The sequence below is a fragment of the Homo sapiens genome, chromosome 9, assembly GCF_000001405.40.
Source record: "Homo sapiens chromosome 9, GRCh38.p14 Primary Assembly".
NCBI lineage: Eukaryota > Metazoa > Chordata > Mammalia > Primates > Hominidae > Homo > Homo sapiens.
The window spans coordinates 137,538,069-137,554,394 of NC_000009.12; the positions used below are offsets into that span (position 1 = coordinate 137,538,069).

At 56.5% G+C, this 16,326-nt stretch overlaps 2 protein-coding genes and 1 long non-coding RNA gene across 14 annotated transcripts in view, besides 3 other annotated features; 1 reads left to right on the forward strand and 2 right to left on the reverse strand.

The window, feature by feature from the left end:
* Positions 1-12,334, reverse strand: part of PNPLA7 (patatin like domain 7, lysophospholipase) — a 90,451-nt gene extending 78,117 nt beyond the window's left edge. For 9 of the 12 annotated variants that reach the window (XR_929794.2, XR_929793.2, XR_001746292.2 and 6 more), the window contains exons 1-8: positions 12,100-12,334; positions 9,517-9,591; positions 9,241-9,328; positions 8,762-8,841; positions 5,656-5,747; positions 5,364-5,504; positions 4,574-4,733; positions 2,574-2,654 (exon numbers count right to left, since the gene is read on the reverse strand). Coding sequence is in view for 8 of the 12 variants with exons in the window: in NM_001098537.3 (NP_001092007.2) it covers positions 2,574-2,654; positions 4,574-4,733; positions 5,364-5,504; positions 5,656-5,747; positions 8,762-8,841; positions 9,241-9,328; positions 9,517-9,591; positions 12,100-12,129 (747 nt within the window). In the remaining 4 variants the exon portion in view is untranslated. The remainder of the gene's footprint in view (positions 1-2,573; positions 2,655-4,573; positions 4,734-5,363; positions 5,505-5,655; positions 5,748-8,761; positions 8,842-9,240; positions 9,329-9,516; positions 9,592-12,099) is intronic. The other 3 variants (XM_047423366.1, XM_047423367.1, NM_152286.5) reach the window with 3 other exon arrangements.
* Positions 5,833-6,334: an enhancer, noted in NCBI's record as "H3K4me1 hESC enhancer chr9:140438353-140438854 (GRCh37/hg19 assembly coordinates)". NCBI's record gives its function as "activates a minimal SCP1, AML or CMV promoter by ChIP-STARR-seq in primed H9 embryonic stem cells {active_cell/tissue: H9 hESC(primed)}" and the evidence as "EXISTENCE:reporter gene assay evidence [ECO:0000049][PMID:30033119]".
* Positions 11,443-11,944: an enhancer, noted in NCBI's record as "H3K4me1 hESC enhancer chr9:140443963-140444464 (GRCh37/hg19 assembly coordinates)". NCBI's record gives its function as "activates a minimal SCP1, AML or CMV promoter by ChIP-STARR-seq in naive H9 embryonic stem cells {active_cell/tissue: H9 hESC(naive)}" and the evidence as "EXISTENCE:reporter gene assay evidence [ECO:0000049][PMID:30033119]".
* Positions 13,133-14,082: a silencer, noted in NCBI's record as "silent region_20628". NCBI's record gives its function as "represses an Ori minimal core promoter by ATAC-STARR-seq in GM12878 lymphoblastoid cells {active_cell/tissue: GM12878}" and the evidence as "EXISTENCE:reporter gene assay evidence [ECO:0000049][PMID:35858748]".
* On the forward strand, positions 13,811-14,487 carry MRPL41 (mitochondrial ribosomal protein L41). Its single transcript, NM_032477.3, has 2 exons — positions 13,811-13,910; positions 14,006-14,487. The coding sequence occupies exon 2, from the start codon at positions 14,014-14,016 to the stop codon at positions 14,425-14,427; it is 414 nt and encodes a 137-aa protein (NP_115866.1). The 5' UTR covers positions 13,811-13,910; positions 14,006-14,013; the 3' UTR covers positions 14,428-14,487.
* LOC124902317 (uncharacterized) lies at positions 14,459-15,612 on the reverse strand. The gene is made up of 2 exons (XR_007061883.1): positions 15,519-15,612; positions 14,459-14,633 (listed from the first exon to the last, which is right to left on the reverse strand). It is a non-coding gene; the product is annotated as an uncharacterized LOC124902317 (long non-coding RNA).

Below are 16,326 nucleotides of genomic sequence, written 5' to 3' on the forward strand. Positions count from 1 at the left end.
CTCCAAAGAGGTGCACAGAGGTGGATCTGGTGGCTGGGACCCCACTCTGCCCCAAGCCACGCTGGGGGCTCCCTCGAAGATGAGCACCGGCCTTCTAACGGCAGGTCAGCCTTGCTCAAAGGAGGTGGGTGTCTTCTCCCTCCCCAGGCCGGCAGCCTCCCCAGCACAGGCCACGCGTCACGTGAAGATACACAAGTCCCAGGGAGCACAACGAGATGCCGAGGTCCCACCCACGCCTCCACCCCAGGCCCCAAACAGCTCAAAGCGCACCTGTGCCCATCTGCCGGGGAGCAGAGTGAGCACCCTGGACACCCCGATGTCTGGCTGGAGCTTGTTACGTCCTTTCCGAGCAGAGGAACATAGGATGGGATCAGAGGACACCACCCAGGCTCCAGTGCGAGGTTTCATGCAAGGACCTAGCGCTTGGTTCTGCCTGAATGCATCCGAGCCAGGGTTCTGGTGAGCTCTAGAAAACTCTCCTAACAAAGTCTAGAGAAACTGAGGTAGAAGTTACCTTGATACACAGCTAACAATGAATGCAAAAGGTGTAACTCAAAAGAGTAAGATTAAAATCAGTTACCTCTTTTGAGTTGAGAGGCATTTAGCAAAATTCAGCTAATGGACACTAAAGATTTGTTTCACTGCATGTAGGTTTTACTCAAAGAAAAAAAGATTAAACACACATTAAATTCCAGTTAATGGGCCAAGCGCGGTGGCTCAGGCCTGTAATCCCAGCATTTTGGGAGGCTGAGGTAGGTGGCTCACTTGAGGTCAGGGGTTCAAGACCAGCCTGGCCAACATGGTGAAACCCCGTCTGTACTAAAAATACAAAAATTAGCCAGGTGTGATGGCACATTCCTGTAATCCCAGGTACTCAGGAGGCTGAGGCAGGAGAATTACTTGAACCTGGAAGATAGTGGCTGCAGTGAGCCAAGATCGTGGCACTGCACTCCAGCCTGGGCAACAGAGCAAGACCCTGTCTCAAAAAAAACAACAAAATTCAGGCTGGGTGCAGTGGCTCACGCCTGTAATTCCAGCACTTTGGGAGGCCAAGGCAGGCAGATTATGAGGTCAGGAGTTGGAGATCAGCCTTACCAAGGCTGTTCTCTACTAAAAATACAAAAATTAGCTGGGCATGGTGGCGCATGCCTGTAATCCCAGCCACTCGGGAGGCTGAGGCAAGAGAATTGCTTGAACCTGGGAGGTGGAGGTTACAGTGAGCCAAGATTGCGCCATTGTACTCCAGCCTGGGCAACAGAGCGAGACTCCATCTCAAAACAAACAAACAAACAAACAAAAAACAAAAAAACTTCTAGTTAATGGCTTGGCATGATGGCTTATGCCTGTAATCCCAGCATTTTGGGAGGCTGAGGTAGGCAGATCACTTGATCCCAGGAGTTCAAGATCAGCCTGGCCAACATGGCAAAACCTCATCTCTATCTCTACAAAAAAATACAAAATTAGCCAGGTATGGTGGTGCACGCCTGCTACTTGGGAAGCTGAGGTGAGAGAATTGCTTGAGCCCAGGAGGCGGAGGTTGCAATGAGCAAAGATCATGCCACTGCCTGGGCGACAGAGCAAGACCCAGCCTAAAAAAAAATAATTCTAGTTAATGTTGGGCACATGGGGTGATTTTACTATTTTTGCACATTTTTGAACTGTCTCATAATAAAAAGTTAAAAATCATGAGACAACATGATACATGATTTTTTGTTTTGTTTTGTTTTGTTTTTTGAGACGGAGTTTCACTCTCGCTGCCTAGGCTGGAGTGCAGTGGCAGGATCTTGGCTCACTGCAACCTCTACCTCCCGGGTTCATGCGATTCTCCTGCCTCAGCCTCCCAAGTAGCTGGGATTACTGGCGCCTGCCCCTACACCCAGTTAATTTTTGTATTTTTAGTAGAGACGGGGTTTCACCACGTTGGCCAGGCTGGTCTCGATCTCTTGACCTTGTGATCCACCCACCTCAGCCTCGCAAAGTGCTGGGATTACAGGTGTGAGCCACTGCGCCCGGCCCGGCAGCACCTTTCAAAATTACAAGTCTGCATCCCTGGGACCCTGCAAGTCCACCCTAGGATTTATCCTGCAGATCAGGCTCTGGTATCGGAAACGATGGACACAGGAAACCATTCACTGCAACGACGAAAAGCAAAAGACTGGGAGCCACAGAAAGACGGCGCCAGCAGGGAAGAGCCCAGCAGGACCTGCAGGAAACGGGGGTGGCTGGTCCCTCGGGAGGGCCTTGGGCCTGAGGAGAGGAGAAAACGCCTTCCCTCTACAACACTTTGTGCCTTTTGAATGCTGAACCACATGCATTTATGACCCAGTTCAACAACAGTCATTTAAGAGACAACCAAAACCGTTAGCCACATGCCCGGCTATTCTTCAACGCACTGTGGCCAGAATGAAGCTCCCTCCTCTTTCTTCCCTCCTTCCTGGACCAAACCCTGCTCCCCTCACATCACTGTGGAGAACTGGCCTTTAACCACTACCAGCTGTCCAGACAAGACAGAAAAACCAGGCCTCCGGGGCCAACCCAGGGGCGCCCGGAGGGCCAGGCAGCGGGGGACTCACGGTGATGATGTCCAGGATGCTGAGCAGGCTGTGGACGCTGTCTCCCGCCAGAACCTCTTTCACCACCACCTCGGTGCCGTCCTGCGCTTGGAGAGCAGAGTGGGTGCCGTCAGGTCTGGGGCTGCGACCGCGGGGCCTGGCGGAGGCTCAGCCCAGCCCAGGGCAGTGGGGCCACGGGCCTGCACCTCTGAGGCGCCATGAGAGCAGCAGGCACCTTGGATGGAGGGCAGGGGACAAGATGGACCTGCTGGCATCAGGGGTACAACACACAGGAAGCGGCAGCAAGGAAAACAGACGGAGGAGACCCCACCTCTCCATCCCATGACTCGTCTTCAATGTGGGGACTGAGGCAAAAGCTCGCAGAGCCTGTTTGTTTGCTGAGCTAACTATAAGGACTCCGAGGACCGATTCAGTTATTACCAGCCTAAATTCCAGAACTTTGATATAATTTTCCATTAGGTAAAAAAAGAAAAGAAACCGCGCTATTTTGGTGATTTAACAAAGTAAGCACTTCATCTCAGCTTGACCCAGGAAAATTCTTTATGAAGTTGCCCAAATCTGGCCCCAGTCCCCTCCATGAGCCCCTCCCATCTAGTCCAAAGGCCAGAGGGACACGGGTTCTGGTCCTTCAGGAGGGCCCCGCACGAGCGGCAACGAAAGCCGCTGCTTCACCAGCTGGGCGGCCTCATCCCCAGGAGCTACTGGCTCCAGCTTCCCCCAAGCCCCTTTCCCTTCTAATAACCCATCAAGTCCAGCCACAGACAAAGCGACAAACCTGAGAACCAAATAATTTGCCCAGCAGCGCTTTTGGTCTAGAAACCCCGACAGGCAGTGCCGGAGCTGGCGTGGGATCACAGCCCACTCCCGGGACCACAGCTGGCAGGAGCCCTGCAGGTCAGGGTGATGATCACACAAAGCCCAGGGTTTGCTGAGTGCGTGCTTTAAATGAGAACAAGCAATGGGAAGTCTGGGTCGCAAACTGCCCAGACAGACAAAGCCACACCACCCTCCAGGAGAGCAACACAGCGCCAAAGAGGCCACGGCAGGGTCTGGCCCAGCACCCACCCCCGAGCAGCGATTCAAAGGGTGGAATTTAACAGAGGCAGGAAACAAGTATTGAGCTCCTACGTGGATTCACACCCGAATTTTTTTTTTTTTGAGACAGGGTCTCGCTCTGTCGCCCAGGCTGGAGTGCAGTGGCGTGAACACAGCTCACTATAGCCGCAACCTCCCAGACTCAAGCGATCCTCCCACCTCAGCCCCCAAGTGGCTGGGACCACAGGTGCTACCACCATGCCTGGATAATTATTTTTTATTTTTTGTAGAGACGGGGTCTCACTACTTCGTCCAAGCTGGTCTCTAAGCCGTGGGCTCAGGTGATCTTCCCACCTTGGCCTTAATTACTTTCTTACAATTAATTTAATTTTGTTAGAAACCTGAAAATAGAGCAAGGGTTCAATGGACCATGGCAAATCAACACAGTGACTTACTACTAAACTATCAAAGGGAGTATTCTGAGGACTTGGAAGATACATTTAAAACAGCTGCCCAGCCCAGTGCCTCATGCCTGTAATTCCAGTGCTCTGAGAGGACAAGATGGGAGAATCGCCTGAGCACAGGAATTGCTGATGAGCCCGGACAACAAACTGAGACTCCATCTCTACAAAAAAATTTTATAAGTGAGCTGGGCATGGTGACATACACCTGTAATCCCAGCTACTCGAGAGGCTGAGGCGGGAGGATCGCTTGAGCCCAGGAAGTCCAGGCCTCAGTGAGCTGAGATCACACCACTGCACTCCAGCCTGGGTGACAGAGTGAGACCCTGTTTCAAAAAACTAAATAAAATGTAATAAAAAATAAAAACGGTGAGTTTTCCCCCAAAGAAATTAAAATCAAAATTTTGCCTAGCTTTTCAATGAGAAACGTTTTACAGCCCGAGAAGACAGACGTGGAGGTAAATGCGCAGCCGCCTGACCCCGCCCCGCCGCCCTGCGACTCACAGTGTCCTGGATGCAGACCTCCAGCCGCCCGTCCTGCACCACACAGATGCTGGGGTCCGGCTCCCTGGGCTGGAAGACGTGCTCCCCTTCCTGCAGCTGCACAAAGACGATGTGTTTGCAAAGCTCCAGGAACAGCGGCTTCTCAAAGTGGCCCAGGACCCTGCAAGAGCCAGAGGGCACTGTGGGACGCCCTTCCAGGGGAGGAGGACGGCCTCTCCAAGAGTCTCGAGAGCACACGGTCACTGACCCCACTGGCGCCAGGCTTTGTGCTGTGGGTCCACACGGCTGACCAACAAACCACACAGCATTACTGCCAAACACAACCGTCAACTTCTGAAATTCCCGTGAGCCTGTTTTCCATCACCTCAGAGAACTTCTTGACCCGTGAACCTGAGCCACACACACACGGGAGGAAGGCAAAGGTGGCCTCCAGGATGGTGAGCTGGGCCAGGGAGCGGAAGGGGTGCAGTCCAGGGGCCAGGCAGCAAGACAGGAGCACAGAGCAGAACCCAGGCTCCAGGCTTTGGATCCACCACACCCTTCTTGCTCTTGCCCTGGGTTCACCGCTGAAGATGAAACACCGGGAAATCGTTCAACAGAACAAGAAAGATCTGGTGAAGGAGCCAGCAGACCACGAGGCCCCGCCACGGGGCACAGACACCAGCAGCCCCACGATGCGCTTTGCCAACCATTCCCCCAACACAAGACGGCCAAGCTGGAGCCAGGCCCCAGCGAGAAGCCCGGGGCTATGGGAGCTGCCGCAGCCCCCGGGGCTCATCCCCGCTCTTACCGAACGTTTTTCAGCATGTACAGAACTTCCGATGGCAGGTGAGAATTCTTCACGTCAAACTCCGTGAGGTCGGCCTCCAGCAGGGAGGGCGGGGGCTCCTTGGGCTGCAGGGCCGGGTATTCCTTCTTGAAACGCAGAATCCTACAAGGCAGAGACACACTAGCCTTGAGCAGACCAGGCGGGTTCGAAACCCACAGCATCAGTGGCTGACACACCAGGCAGCTCAGGGTTGGGGAGGCCAGCACCATGGGGGGCACCTGGGGCAGGATGTGGTCTGAAGGACACACAGTACCTCTTGGCCAAAGACAGCACCTTGGTCCTCTTCCTGGCCCGCTGCCGGGGCAGGGCAGTGTTCTCCACAAGGGTGTTGGGGAGTGTGGTCACCTGCAGAGCCAAGGGAGAGACCAGCCACTGACCCTGCAAGCCGCAAGGTCCAAGCTCTTTGCCATGGGGATCAGTCCTCAGGACCTGCCTGTGGGCCTCCCACAGTCCCAGCTTCAGCTCCTGGGGTCTGGCTGTGCCATTTTCCCACCCTGCCTGGCCTGTGAGGGAATGTTGGCAGCGATACAGCCCCACACATCCTTGGGATCGTCCTCACTGTCCCCAAACAGCCAACCCTCCAGAGCCCCCAGGCTTCATGCCTGCTGGCCCCGCTGCCCCGAAGGCTGACACCCGCTCCATCTTTGGCTCTCATACTGGTCAACACAACCCTTTGCTACAACCCTTTAAAAATCCACCACTGTCCCCACCGACCTTCCCCCCCAACTTCCCCTCTGACCTGGGGCCACTGCCCACTCTGTCCCATATCTGGAACAGTCTTCCTCCCTTTTCTCAGGCAGTGCCTGCTTGACTGCCCAGAATAGCAGTGGCCTGGGTCACACCCTGCATGCTGGCAGGGTCACCTCACTCAGGCCCCACTGCCTGCTGCCCCTCGGTCCAGAGCTGTCAGCCTCATGGCTTTCCTCCCAGGCCCTCAGCTTCCCTGTCCTCTGTGGGGCCACTGGATGATGGCCGACACTCAACAGACCGCCTCCACTCTGCTCCAGACCACCCTACGCCCTGTCCCGGCCGCCTAAGCCTGTCCCAGACCCAGCCTACAGCAGCCCTAACTCATCTGCCCTTTCACAGCACTTAATGCGGATGAGAACAGATGAGTCACAGACACCCACATCCCTCCCCTCTTGAGTTTCTCAATTTTCTTTTTGTTTTTTGTTTGTTCGTTTGTTTTTGAGATGGAGTTTTGCTCTTGTTGCCCAGGCTGCAGTGCAATGGCACGATCTCGACTCACTACAACCTCCGCCTCCTGGGTCCTGGCTCAAACAATTCTCCTGCCTCAGCCTCCCGAGTAGTTGGGATTACAGGCGCCCGCCACAAAGCCCAGCTAATTTTTGTATTTTTAGTAGAGACAGGGTTTCGCCATGTTGGCCAGGCTGGTCTCGAACTCCTGACCTCATGATCCGCCCACCTCAGCCTCTCAAAGTGCTGAGAGTACAGGCGTGAGCCACCGTGCCCGGCCGAGTTTTTCAATTTTCTATGAAGAACACGAATTAGTTGTACAACCAGAAAAAGGTAACAAAGATTGCTTTAAAGGGATCAGTCTGTGCGGTTTCTGTGAAGCTTCTGGGTGGTCTGTTGAGCACCTCCTGGGCCCTTCAGGAGTGCAGGGAGGCGGCCAGGGGAGGCCTCCGACAGCCCAATTGGCCAAAGACGAGGAAGGGTTAAACCAAGGCTGCTTATTCCCCAGATCGGGGCTTGTGAAACTCGGATCCCTGAGCCCTGGCCCAGGGATCTGTGTCTAGGTTCCGGAACCACCCAGACATTCAAAGTGAGTCACGCAGCTTTCAGCTTAGAGCACACATGCCGGTAACCAGGGAACTCAGCCCCTCAAATCCCAGGGGATGGACTCTGTCCTCAGCTCAGCATCCCAAAGCCTGGCAGAGACCTCCAAGCTTGGCAGCAGAGTCAGGAACCTCTGGCCGAGCGTGAGGCCCTCTGCACCCACTGGGCCCCAGTGATGTTCCTAGAAAGCAGCTTTCCGTTCTCACTTATTGTTAAAATAAACATCCACTCTGGGGGCCGACAGGGCCTTTGTGAGCGGCAAGCGACTGAGGGCATGAGCTGTTCCAGTATAATAAAATATATAAAATAAGAATAGTTATACTACATATAGATCTTAGATATGATTATATATGAATATCATTAATCATTAGCTTGTAGCAATTACTCTTTATTCCAATATTATAATAATCCTCACTCTATAATCATAGCCTAGGAAAAACCAGGCCATACAGAGATAGGAGCTGAGGGGACATAGTGAGGAGTGACCAGAAGACAAGAGTGCGAGCCTTCTGTTATGCCCGGACAGGGCCACCAGAGGGCTCCTTGGTCTAGTGGTGACGCCAGCGTCTGGGAAGATGCCTGTTGCCAAGCGGACCGTGATCTAGCGGTAGCGTCAGTGTCAAGGAAAAACACCTGCTACTTAGCAGACAGGGAAAGGGAGTCTCCCTTTCCCCAGGGGAGTTCAGAGATGACTCTACCCCTCCACCTCCTGTGGAGGGCCTGACATCAGTCAGGTTCGCCCGCAGTTATCCGGAGGCCTAACCGTCTCCCTGTGATGCTGTGCTTCAGTGGTCACGCTCCTAGTCCGCCTTCATGTTCCATCCTGTACACCTGGCTCTGTCTTTTAGATAGCAGTAGTCAATTAGTGAAAGTACTAAAAGTCTCTGATATGCAGAAATAATGGCATAAGCTATCTTTCTCTCTCTCTCCTCTCTCTCTCTGTCTCGGCTGCCAGGCAGGGAAGGGCCTCCTGTCAAGCAGACACGTGAACCACGGGACCTTACCTATCATTGGAGATGGCTCACACTCCTTACCCTGCCCCTTTGTCTTGTATCCAATAAATATCAGTGCAGCCTGGCATTCAGGGCCACTACTGGTCTCCGCGTCTTGGTGGTAGTGGTCCCCAGGACCCAGCTGTCTTTTCTTTTATCTTTTTGTCTTGTGTCTTTATTTCTACACTCTCTCGTCTCCGCACAGGGGGAGAAACCCACCGACCCTGTGGGGCTGGGCCCTACAGGCCTTCCCTCCCCTCCGGCCACTGTGCACCACAGACATTCCTGAAGCTGCCCCTCCAGGCCAGGGGGAGTAGAGGCCTGAGAGGGTGAGGGGTTATTCTTGGGTAAAACACACTGGATTCAGCTGGAGGAAGCAGACACCATTCGGCACAATTTATAATTTCCCCCAAACCCTGAGCCTGGTGGCAGAGCTGGGAAGCTGGGGAGAGGACAGCACACACCAAGCACTGCCCAGCCTGGGGGAGCCCACAGCAGAAGGGGTCCCTCCCACAGGGGCCTGCTCGAGGAAGCCGTGTGCAGCCTGGGGCCCCGAGCAACAGCTACCTTCCTCATGATCTTCCGGCCGTAAAACATCACTTTGTCTCTCTTCCGGAACCGGTACTGAGGAGTGGGCTGTGCTTGTCCTGCAGGGGAGTAAAGGGATGGCCTGAGGTAGAGCCGTGGCACAGGCCTGGTCCTGGACATGCAGGTGCAGCACAGTCAGTCATACTCTCGTCCCTGCCAGTAACTGGCCATACTCAGACAGCATGAGGGAAGAGGGCCTGAGTGACAGGCTCATCTCCAACAAAGGGGGCTCTCCCCTCTTCCCACTGAAGCCTTGCTCAGGAGAGGAGAACAGAAAGGGCTCTGAACAGACTTGGCTTCCTGGAACCGACGGGCTCAGCCTGAGCCCAGACGGGCCATCAGATTCTAGCCAAAGCCACCATGCGCTTGAGGGCCCCTCCCAGGGGCTCAAAACACATCCCAAGACACCCACGCTTTCCCCCAACCCCCCGGGCCAGAGTCGGAACCAAGATACTCACGAAATTGTCTAAGCCTTCTGAACATGAAAAGGATGAGGACACCAACCAAGGCCAGGGCCAGGAGGGCTCCAACTGCAATCCCCGTCAGCTGGCCGAGAGTGGAAACACGGCGCCCATCAGCAAAGCCACAAACCTAACCCTAGCCCTAAGCCTGCCCCCACCCCTGGCTGCCCAACCACAGGCTGGGCAGGAATGAGCCAGGGGATGGGGACAGGGAGAGGTGAAAAAGGCCACGGCCCATCCAGGTCTGGCTCCAGGGAAGCGTGAGGTGATTACCATGGTGGACGGTGAACCTTCCTCCGTGAACCACAGTCCCCAAGAGTGCAGGGCGGTGCCCAGGCAGAAGTCAGCCTGCAGCAGAGAGCATGGGGTCAGGTGGGCATGGACAGGCTTCCCAGCCCGAACTTGTTCAGAGCAGCAGGAGGAGAGCTGGGAGTTAGGGGAGAAGTCAGCAGCCCTGGAGACTTCTGGGAAGAAGTGATCTCGCCCGGGGTGCCGGGGTCCTCTGAGCCCCCTGCTAGGAAGCACTCAGAGAGCAACCTGGCTCCCTCAGTCACTGGGATACAGTGGGGCAGGGCCAGCGGCTGCCCCAGGCATCACTAACACACCCACATGCTGGTGATGCAATCCTTGGGATGCAGGTCTCAGGGAGCAGGCCTGGCCAAAGGGGAGGCCAAGGCCCCCCTCTCAGTGTCGCCTCAGCCCCAGCAGGAGCAGTGCTCAAAACCCCTATGAGCCATCTGGATTCTGAGAACATTCAACACCAGTTCACATGCCAAACAAGGAGGCAGCGGCCGAGAAGGCTCTGTGTCCTGCAGTCTCCTGGAGCAGCAGGACTTCAGAAGTCCAGGTCCGCGGGAGGGAGGGAAGAGAGGGTGAGGGCAGGATGGTGAGTGAACGACAGCAGAGGACGCTGGTGGTTCCAAGAAGTGAAAGAGAAAACGAGAAGACGAGAAGACGACACCAGCCAGACAGGCAGCCCTCTCCATTCCTGCTGGCATCACACCTTCCTCCCAGGCAGCCAGGAACCGGATAGGGCAGGGGAAGCCACTGGTTCAGCCTGAAAGTTTCTACACAAGAGCCAAGGCCTAAAACAACACCCACCCCCGCCTCACTGCAGAGAGCAGGACTCCCATCCGTGCCAGAAAATCCAGGGAAGGGCCGGGCGCAGTGGCTCACGCCTGCAATCCCAGCACTTTGGGAGGCTGAGGCGGGCGGATCATGAGGTCAGGAGATCGAGACCATCCTGGCTAACACGGTGAAACCCCGTCTCTACTAAAAATTCAAAAATTAGCCGGGCGTGGTGGTGGGTGCCTGTAGTCCCAGCTACTTGGGAGGCTGAGGCAGGAGAATGGCGTGAACCCGGGAGGCAGAGCTTGCAGTGAGCTGAGATTGTGCTACTGCACTCCAGCCTGGGCGACAGAGCGAGACTCCATCTCAAAAAAAAGAAAACTCAGGGAAGTCAGAAGAGCACTCAGAAACGCATTTAAAGACACAATTCTGCACCAAGACAGAATGAGGACGTGCCCAGAAAGCTGAGCCCTTCGAACTTGGTTCAGAAGCAAATACAAGCCCTGGGAGCTTCTGCTTCAGGACAGGGGAACCCCTACGCTCACTCTCAACCAGGTGGGGAGCAGAGAAGCACCTACGACCATGTCCCTCACTTAAGGAAGCGAAGTGAGTCCCTCAGCCCAGCAACCGCTTCTGGGACCGATTATCCAAGGAAGGCCTATCACGCGATGGCCCGTGACCTGGTCACAGGCTCTCCTGCGGTGGAGCGGCTCAGCCTTTTCTAGCTTTTCACTGTTGCTTTAATGGGTCCAGTGTTCTGGTTTAGGAAATAAGGCCTTTGCCATGTGGCTACAGATGTTTGACTAAGAAAAAGATTCTAGGGCTGGGCACAGTGTCTCACGCCTGTAATCCCAGCACTTTGGGAGGCCGAGGCGGGCAGATCATGAGGTCAAGAGTTCAAGACTAGGCCGGGCACGGTGGCTCATGCCTGTAATCCCTGCACTTTGGGAGGCCAAGGCGGGCGGATCACGAGGTCAGGAAATCGAGACCATCCTGGCTAACACAGTGAAACACCGTCTCTACTGAAAATACAAAAAAATATTAGCCGGGCGTGGTGGTGGGCGCCTGTAGTCCCAGCTACTTGGGAGGCCGAGGCAGGAGAATGGCGTGAACCTGGGAGGCAGAGCTTGCAGTGAGTTGAGATCGTGCCACTGCAATCCAGCTTGGGCGACAGAGCAAGACTCCGTCTCAAAAAAAAAAAAAAAAAAAGTTCAAGACCAGCCTGGCCAACATGGCGAAACCCCGTTTCTACTAAGAATACAAAAATTAGCCGGGCGTGGTGCCTGTAGTCCCAGCTACCCGGGAGGCTGAGGCAGAATTGCCTGAACCCAGGAGGCGGAGGTTGCTGTGAGCCAAGATCACACCATTGCACACCAGCCTGGGCGACAGAGCGAGACTCCGTCTTGGGAAAAAAAAAAACACAGAAAAAGGTTCTAAGCAAAACCATCAGGCAAAGTCCTAAAGGAACTGGAAGTAGCAACTGTGACCTTAGGGGAAGAAAAGACAAGGCCTCAGGCAATGCCCATGGGCCACCGCTGGCTGCCCTCGCTGTGAACAATGCCCATGGGCCACCACTGGCTGTCTGCTGTGACAGGCGCGTCTAACAAGTGCTGGCAGCTGTGACAGGCAGCAGAGAGGGGCCAGATCCACCACTCCCACAGTCCTCAGGCGCCAAGAAGCCACGGGGCCAAAGAGCGCGGCAGAGCAGACGCCAAGAGGACCCTTCTCTGGGTCCAGAAATGCCCCCCAACTGGGAAATCCAGGCATCTGGTCCCCCGAGTTACATACCTGTGGGCTGTCATCTTTCTCTTCCTCCATGGCCAGAAACAGAAAAAACAGTCAGGGGCGAAAAGCAGACAGCCTGAAGCAAACAAGGGCACACCTCTACCCGCTCATGCTCACACCTGGACACTTTTCCCTGGGTTCCTTTCAAGTCAAATTATGTTTCACTGAAAGGAAAATCCTGCTGAAAAAGTCTGTTCTCCAGGAAGAAAAGCTGTCTTTTGAGAAGTGTCTGTCATCTGCTAGGAGCCACCTCCTTCCCTCTGTAAACAGCCCTCACGTGGCTGTCCCGGAACCCAGAACAGCAGCCAGATGGGGCGTATCCAAGCAGGTCAAGAGGAGCCAGGCCCAGCGCGGCGGGGATGGGGGCAGCGCTGCCTTCTGGAGAAGCACGGCTGGAGGGGAGGTGACGCTGGCGGGGCGTGGATCCGGGGTGTGGGGATGCAGCTGGGGAGGAGGGTGCAGCTGGGGAGGGGGTGGATCCGGCGTGTAGGGGTACCGCTGGGGAGTGGGTGCAGCTGGGGAGGGGGTGGATCTGGGGTGTGGGGGTGCCGCTGGGGAGTGGGTGCAGCTGGGGAGGGGGTGGATCCGGCGTGTAGGGGTACCGCTGGGGAGTGGGTGCAGCTGGGGAGGGGGTGGATCTGGGGTGTGGGGGTACTGCTGGGGAGAGGGTGCAGCTGGGGAGCGCGTGGATCCGGCGAGTGGGGGTACCGCTAGGGAGGGGGTGCAGCTGGGGAGGGGGTGGATCTGGGGTGTGGGGGTGCCGCTGGGGAGGGGGTGCAGCTGGGGAGGGGGTGGATCTGGGGCGTGGGGGTGCCGCTGGGGAGGGGGTGCAGCTGGGGAGGGGGTGGATCTGGGGCGTGGGGGTGCCGCTGGGGAGGGGGTGCAGCTGGGGAGGGGATGGATCTGGGGTGTGGGGGTACCGCTGGGGAAGGGCGTGCAGCTGGAGAGGGGATGGATCTGGGCTGTGGGGGTGCCGCTGGGGACGGGGTGCAGCTGGGGAGGGGGTGGATCCGGATTGTGAGGGTGCGGCTGGGGGGCGACTTCCGCGTGGGGTGAGAGGTCGCCTGCGAGGGTGACCGGGCAGGAGGGCTCAGTGCGCAAGCCGGACGTGCTGGGTCCAAGATTATTGATTAATTTGGGCACCGCGAGGGCTCGAGTCCCCCCACACCACTGCCCGGCCTGCGGGGGAGCACAGACAGCCCGGGCCCTCCCGGCTGCAGGTCCCGGGCTTTCCCCGCGCGGTTGCCGGCTCCGCCCAGAGGAGCCGCGCCCGGCGGAGGGGTAAGAAAGGCAGGGTCGCGGCGTCAACGCGGCGGCCGTCTCGAGTCCAGGGCCCGCGTCCTCCCCGACCTCCCGACGCCACCTCACGGCCTCAGGGGGACTGGGCTCCCGGGAAACCGCCGGCCACCTGGCGGACGAACACAGGCAGTGGCGGGCAGTGGAGACGCCAGGGACCACCGCGCTGAGAGCGATCACTCATCCGCCAGCCCCGCCCCGCGAGCCCCGCCCCGCGAGCCCCGCCCCGCGAGCCCCGCCCCGCGAGCCCCGCCCCGCGAGCCCCGCCCCGCGAGCCCCGCACCGCCGGCCCCGCACCGCCAGCCCCGCGAGCCCCGCCCCGCCCCGCGCGCTCCTCGCATTGGCCGAGTCCCCGCGGCCACACCCCCTACCAGATTGGGGCCGCTATTGGACGCGGCGGCCGCGGCCAATCGGAGCCGCTCTTGCTGCGACGCAGCGGTCGGAAGCGGAGCAAGGTCGAGGCCGGGTTGGCGCCGGAGCCGGGGCCGCTTGGAGCTCGTGTGGGGTCTCCGGTCCAGGTGAGTCTGTCGGATTGGGGCGGGCGCCGCGCGCGGCCAGGGGCGGGGCTGGCCGGGTTCCCGGGGCCGCGACTACCCGCTCTCTCCTCCCGCAGGGCGCGGCATGGGCGTCCTGGCCGCAGCGGCGCGCTGCCTGGTCCGGGGTGCGGACCGAATGAGCAAGTGGACGAGCAAGCGGGGCCCGCGCAGCTTCAGGGGCCGCAAGGGCCGGGGCGCCAAGGGCATCGGCTTCCTCACCTCGGGCTGGAGGTTCGTGCAGATCAAGGAGATGGTCCCGGAGTTCGTCGTCCCGGATCTGACCGGCTTCAAGCTCAAGCCCTACGTGAGCTACCTCGCCCCTGAGAGCGAGGAGACGCCCCTGACGGCCGCGCAGCTCTTCAGCGAAGCCGTGGCGCCTGCCATCGAAAAGGACTTCAAGGACGGTACCTTCGACCCTGACAACCTGGAAAAGTACGGCTTCGAGCCCACACAGGAGGGAAAGCTCTTCCAGCTCTACCCCAGGAACTTCCTGCGCTAGCTGGGCGGGGGAGGGGCGGCCTGCCCTCATCTCATTTCTATTAAACGCCTTTGCCAGCTATACGGTGTTTGTTTTTTGGCCTCAGGTCATGGCAAAGTGTGCAGCATGACAGATTTCAGTGCAGGCACCTAAGCCGAGTTCTCATGCAGACTCGGCGCTGTGAACCTCTTTGGAGGTCATCTTCCGAGTCCGAAGGTTCTGGGAACCTGCCAAGGGCAAACATCACTCAGCTTGCAGGAGAAAGAATTTACAAGGCAGATTGTGCCGGATGACAGCACTGGTCAGTTCATCCCCCAAATTATTCACCCAGGGAACAAAGATACAGAGATGGGGGTCTCACTATGCTGCCCAGGCTGAGAACTCATGGGCTGAAATGATCCGCCCGCCTCAGCCTCCCAAAATGCTGGGATTACAGGTGTGAGCCACTGCGCCCAGCCTAGGAAAATTTCCTGTTGCAATCTGACATATAGTGACATGTTGTGTTGTATCATCAGAAAAGAAGAAAGGGATAAGGCCAGGTGCGGTGGCTCACGCCTGTAATCCCAGCACATTGGGAGGCTGAGGCGGGAGGATCACAAGATTAGGAGTTCAAGACCAGCCTGGCCAGCATGATGAAACCCCATCTCTACTAAAAATACAAAAATTAGCCAGGCGTGGTGGCGTGCGACTGTAGTCCCAGCTACTCCAAAGGCAAGAGAATCGCTTAAACCCAGGAGGCAGAGCTTGCAGTGAGTCGAGATCGCACCACTGCACTCCAGCCTGGGTAACAGAGTGAGACTCCGTCTCAAAAAAGGGATAAAACTGCATGTTTTTTTGCTTGTAGTCACCTATGTATCATTAGTAAATGCTGAGGATTTGACAAATAGTGGCCTGTACCTCAACCACAGTTCCTCCCAGAGAGACAAAAGCCCTCACAGCAGGAGTTGGATGTAACACACCCAGTTTGTTCACACACCTAAAGTCACCATCTGTCCAGTATTTGGGAGCTAACCCGTGTGGGTGCTGCAGTGATGAGTGTTCCCTACAGACTTCACATATTTCAAGCTGATGACCCCCAAGGCAACTTGGAACACACACTCCCTTTTACTTACCTGCATAGGGATCCAATACAGGTTGAGCGTCGTTATCCAAAATGCTTGGGGCTGGGCGCCCTGGCTCATGCCTGTAATCCCAGCACTTTGGGAAGCCGAGACAGGCGGGTCATCTGAGGTCAGGAGCCTGGCCAACATGGTGAAACCCCATTTGTACTAAAAATACAAAAATTAGCCAGGCATGGTGGCACACACCTGTAATCCCAGCTACTCCGGAGGCTGAGGCAGGAGAATCACTTGAACCTGGGAGGTGGAGGGCAGTGAGTCGAGATGGAGCCACCGAGATTGAGCCACTGCACTCCAGCCTGGGTGACGAGCATGACTCTGTCTCAAAAAAAAAAAAAGGCACAGCTCAACGCCTGTAATCCCGGCACTTTGGGCGGCCAAGGTGGACGGATCACCTGAGGTCCAGAGTTTGAGAGCAGCCTGACCAACATGGAGAAACCTTGTCTCTACTAAATATACAAAATTAGCCGGGCATGCTGGTGGATGCCAGCTATTGGGAGGGTGAGGCAGGAGAATCGCTTGAACTTGGGAGGCGGAGGTTGCAGTGAGTCAAGATTGTGCCATTGCACCCCAGCCTGGGCAGCAAGAGCAAAACTCCATCTCGGGGGGCAAAAAAAAAAAAAGCTTGGAACCAGAAATGTTTTGGATTTCAGATTTTGGAATATCTGCATGTACATAATGAGACATCTTGGGGATGAGATGAGATACAAGTCTAAACATGAAATTCAATTTTGTTTCATGTACACCTTATACACATAGCCTGAGGGTAGTTTTATACAATATATATGTTTTTTAGGCTAGT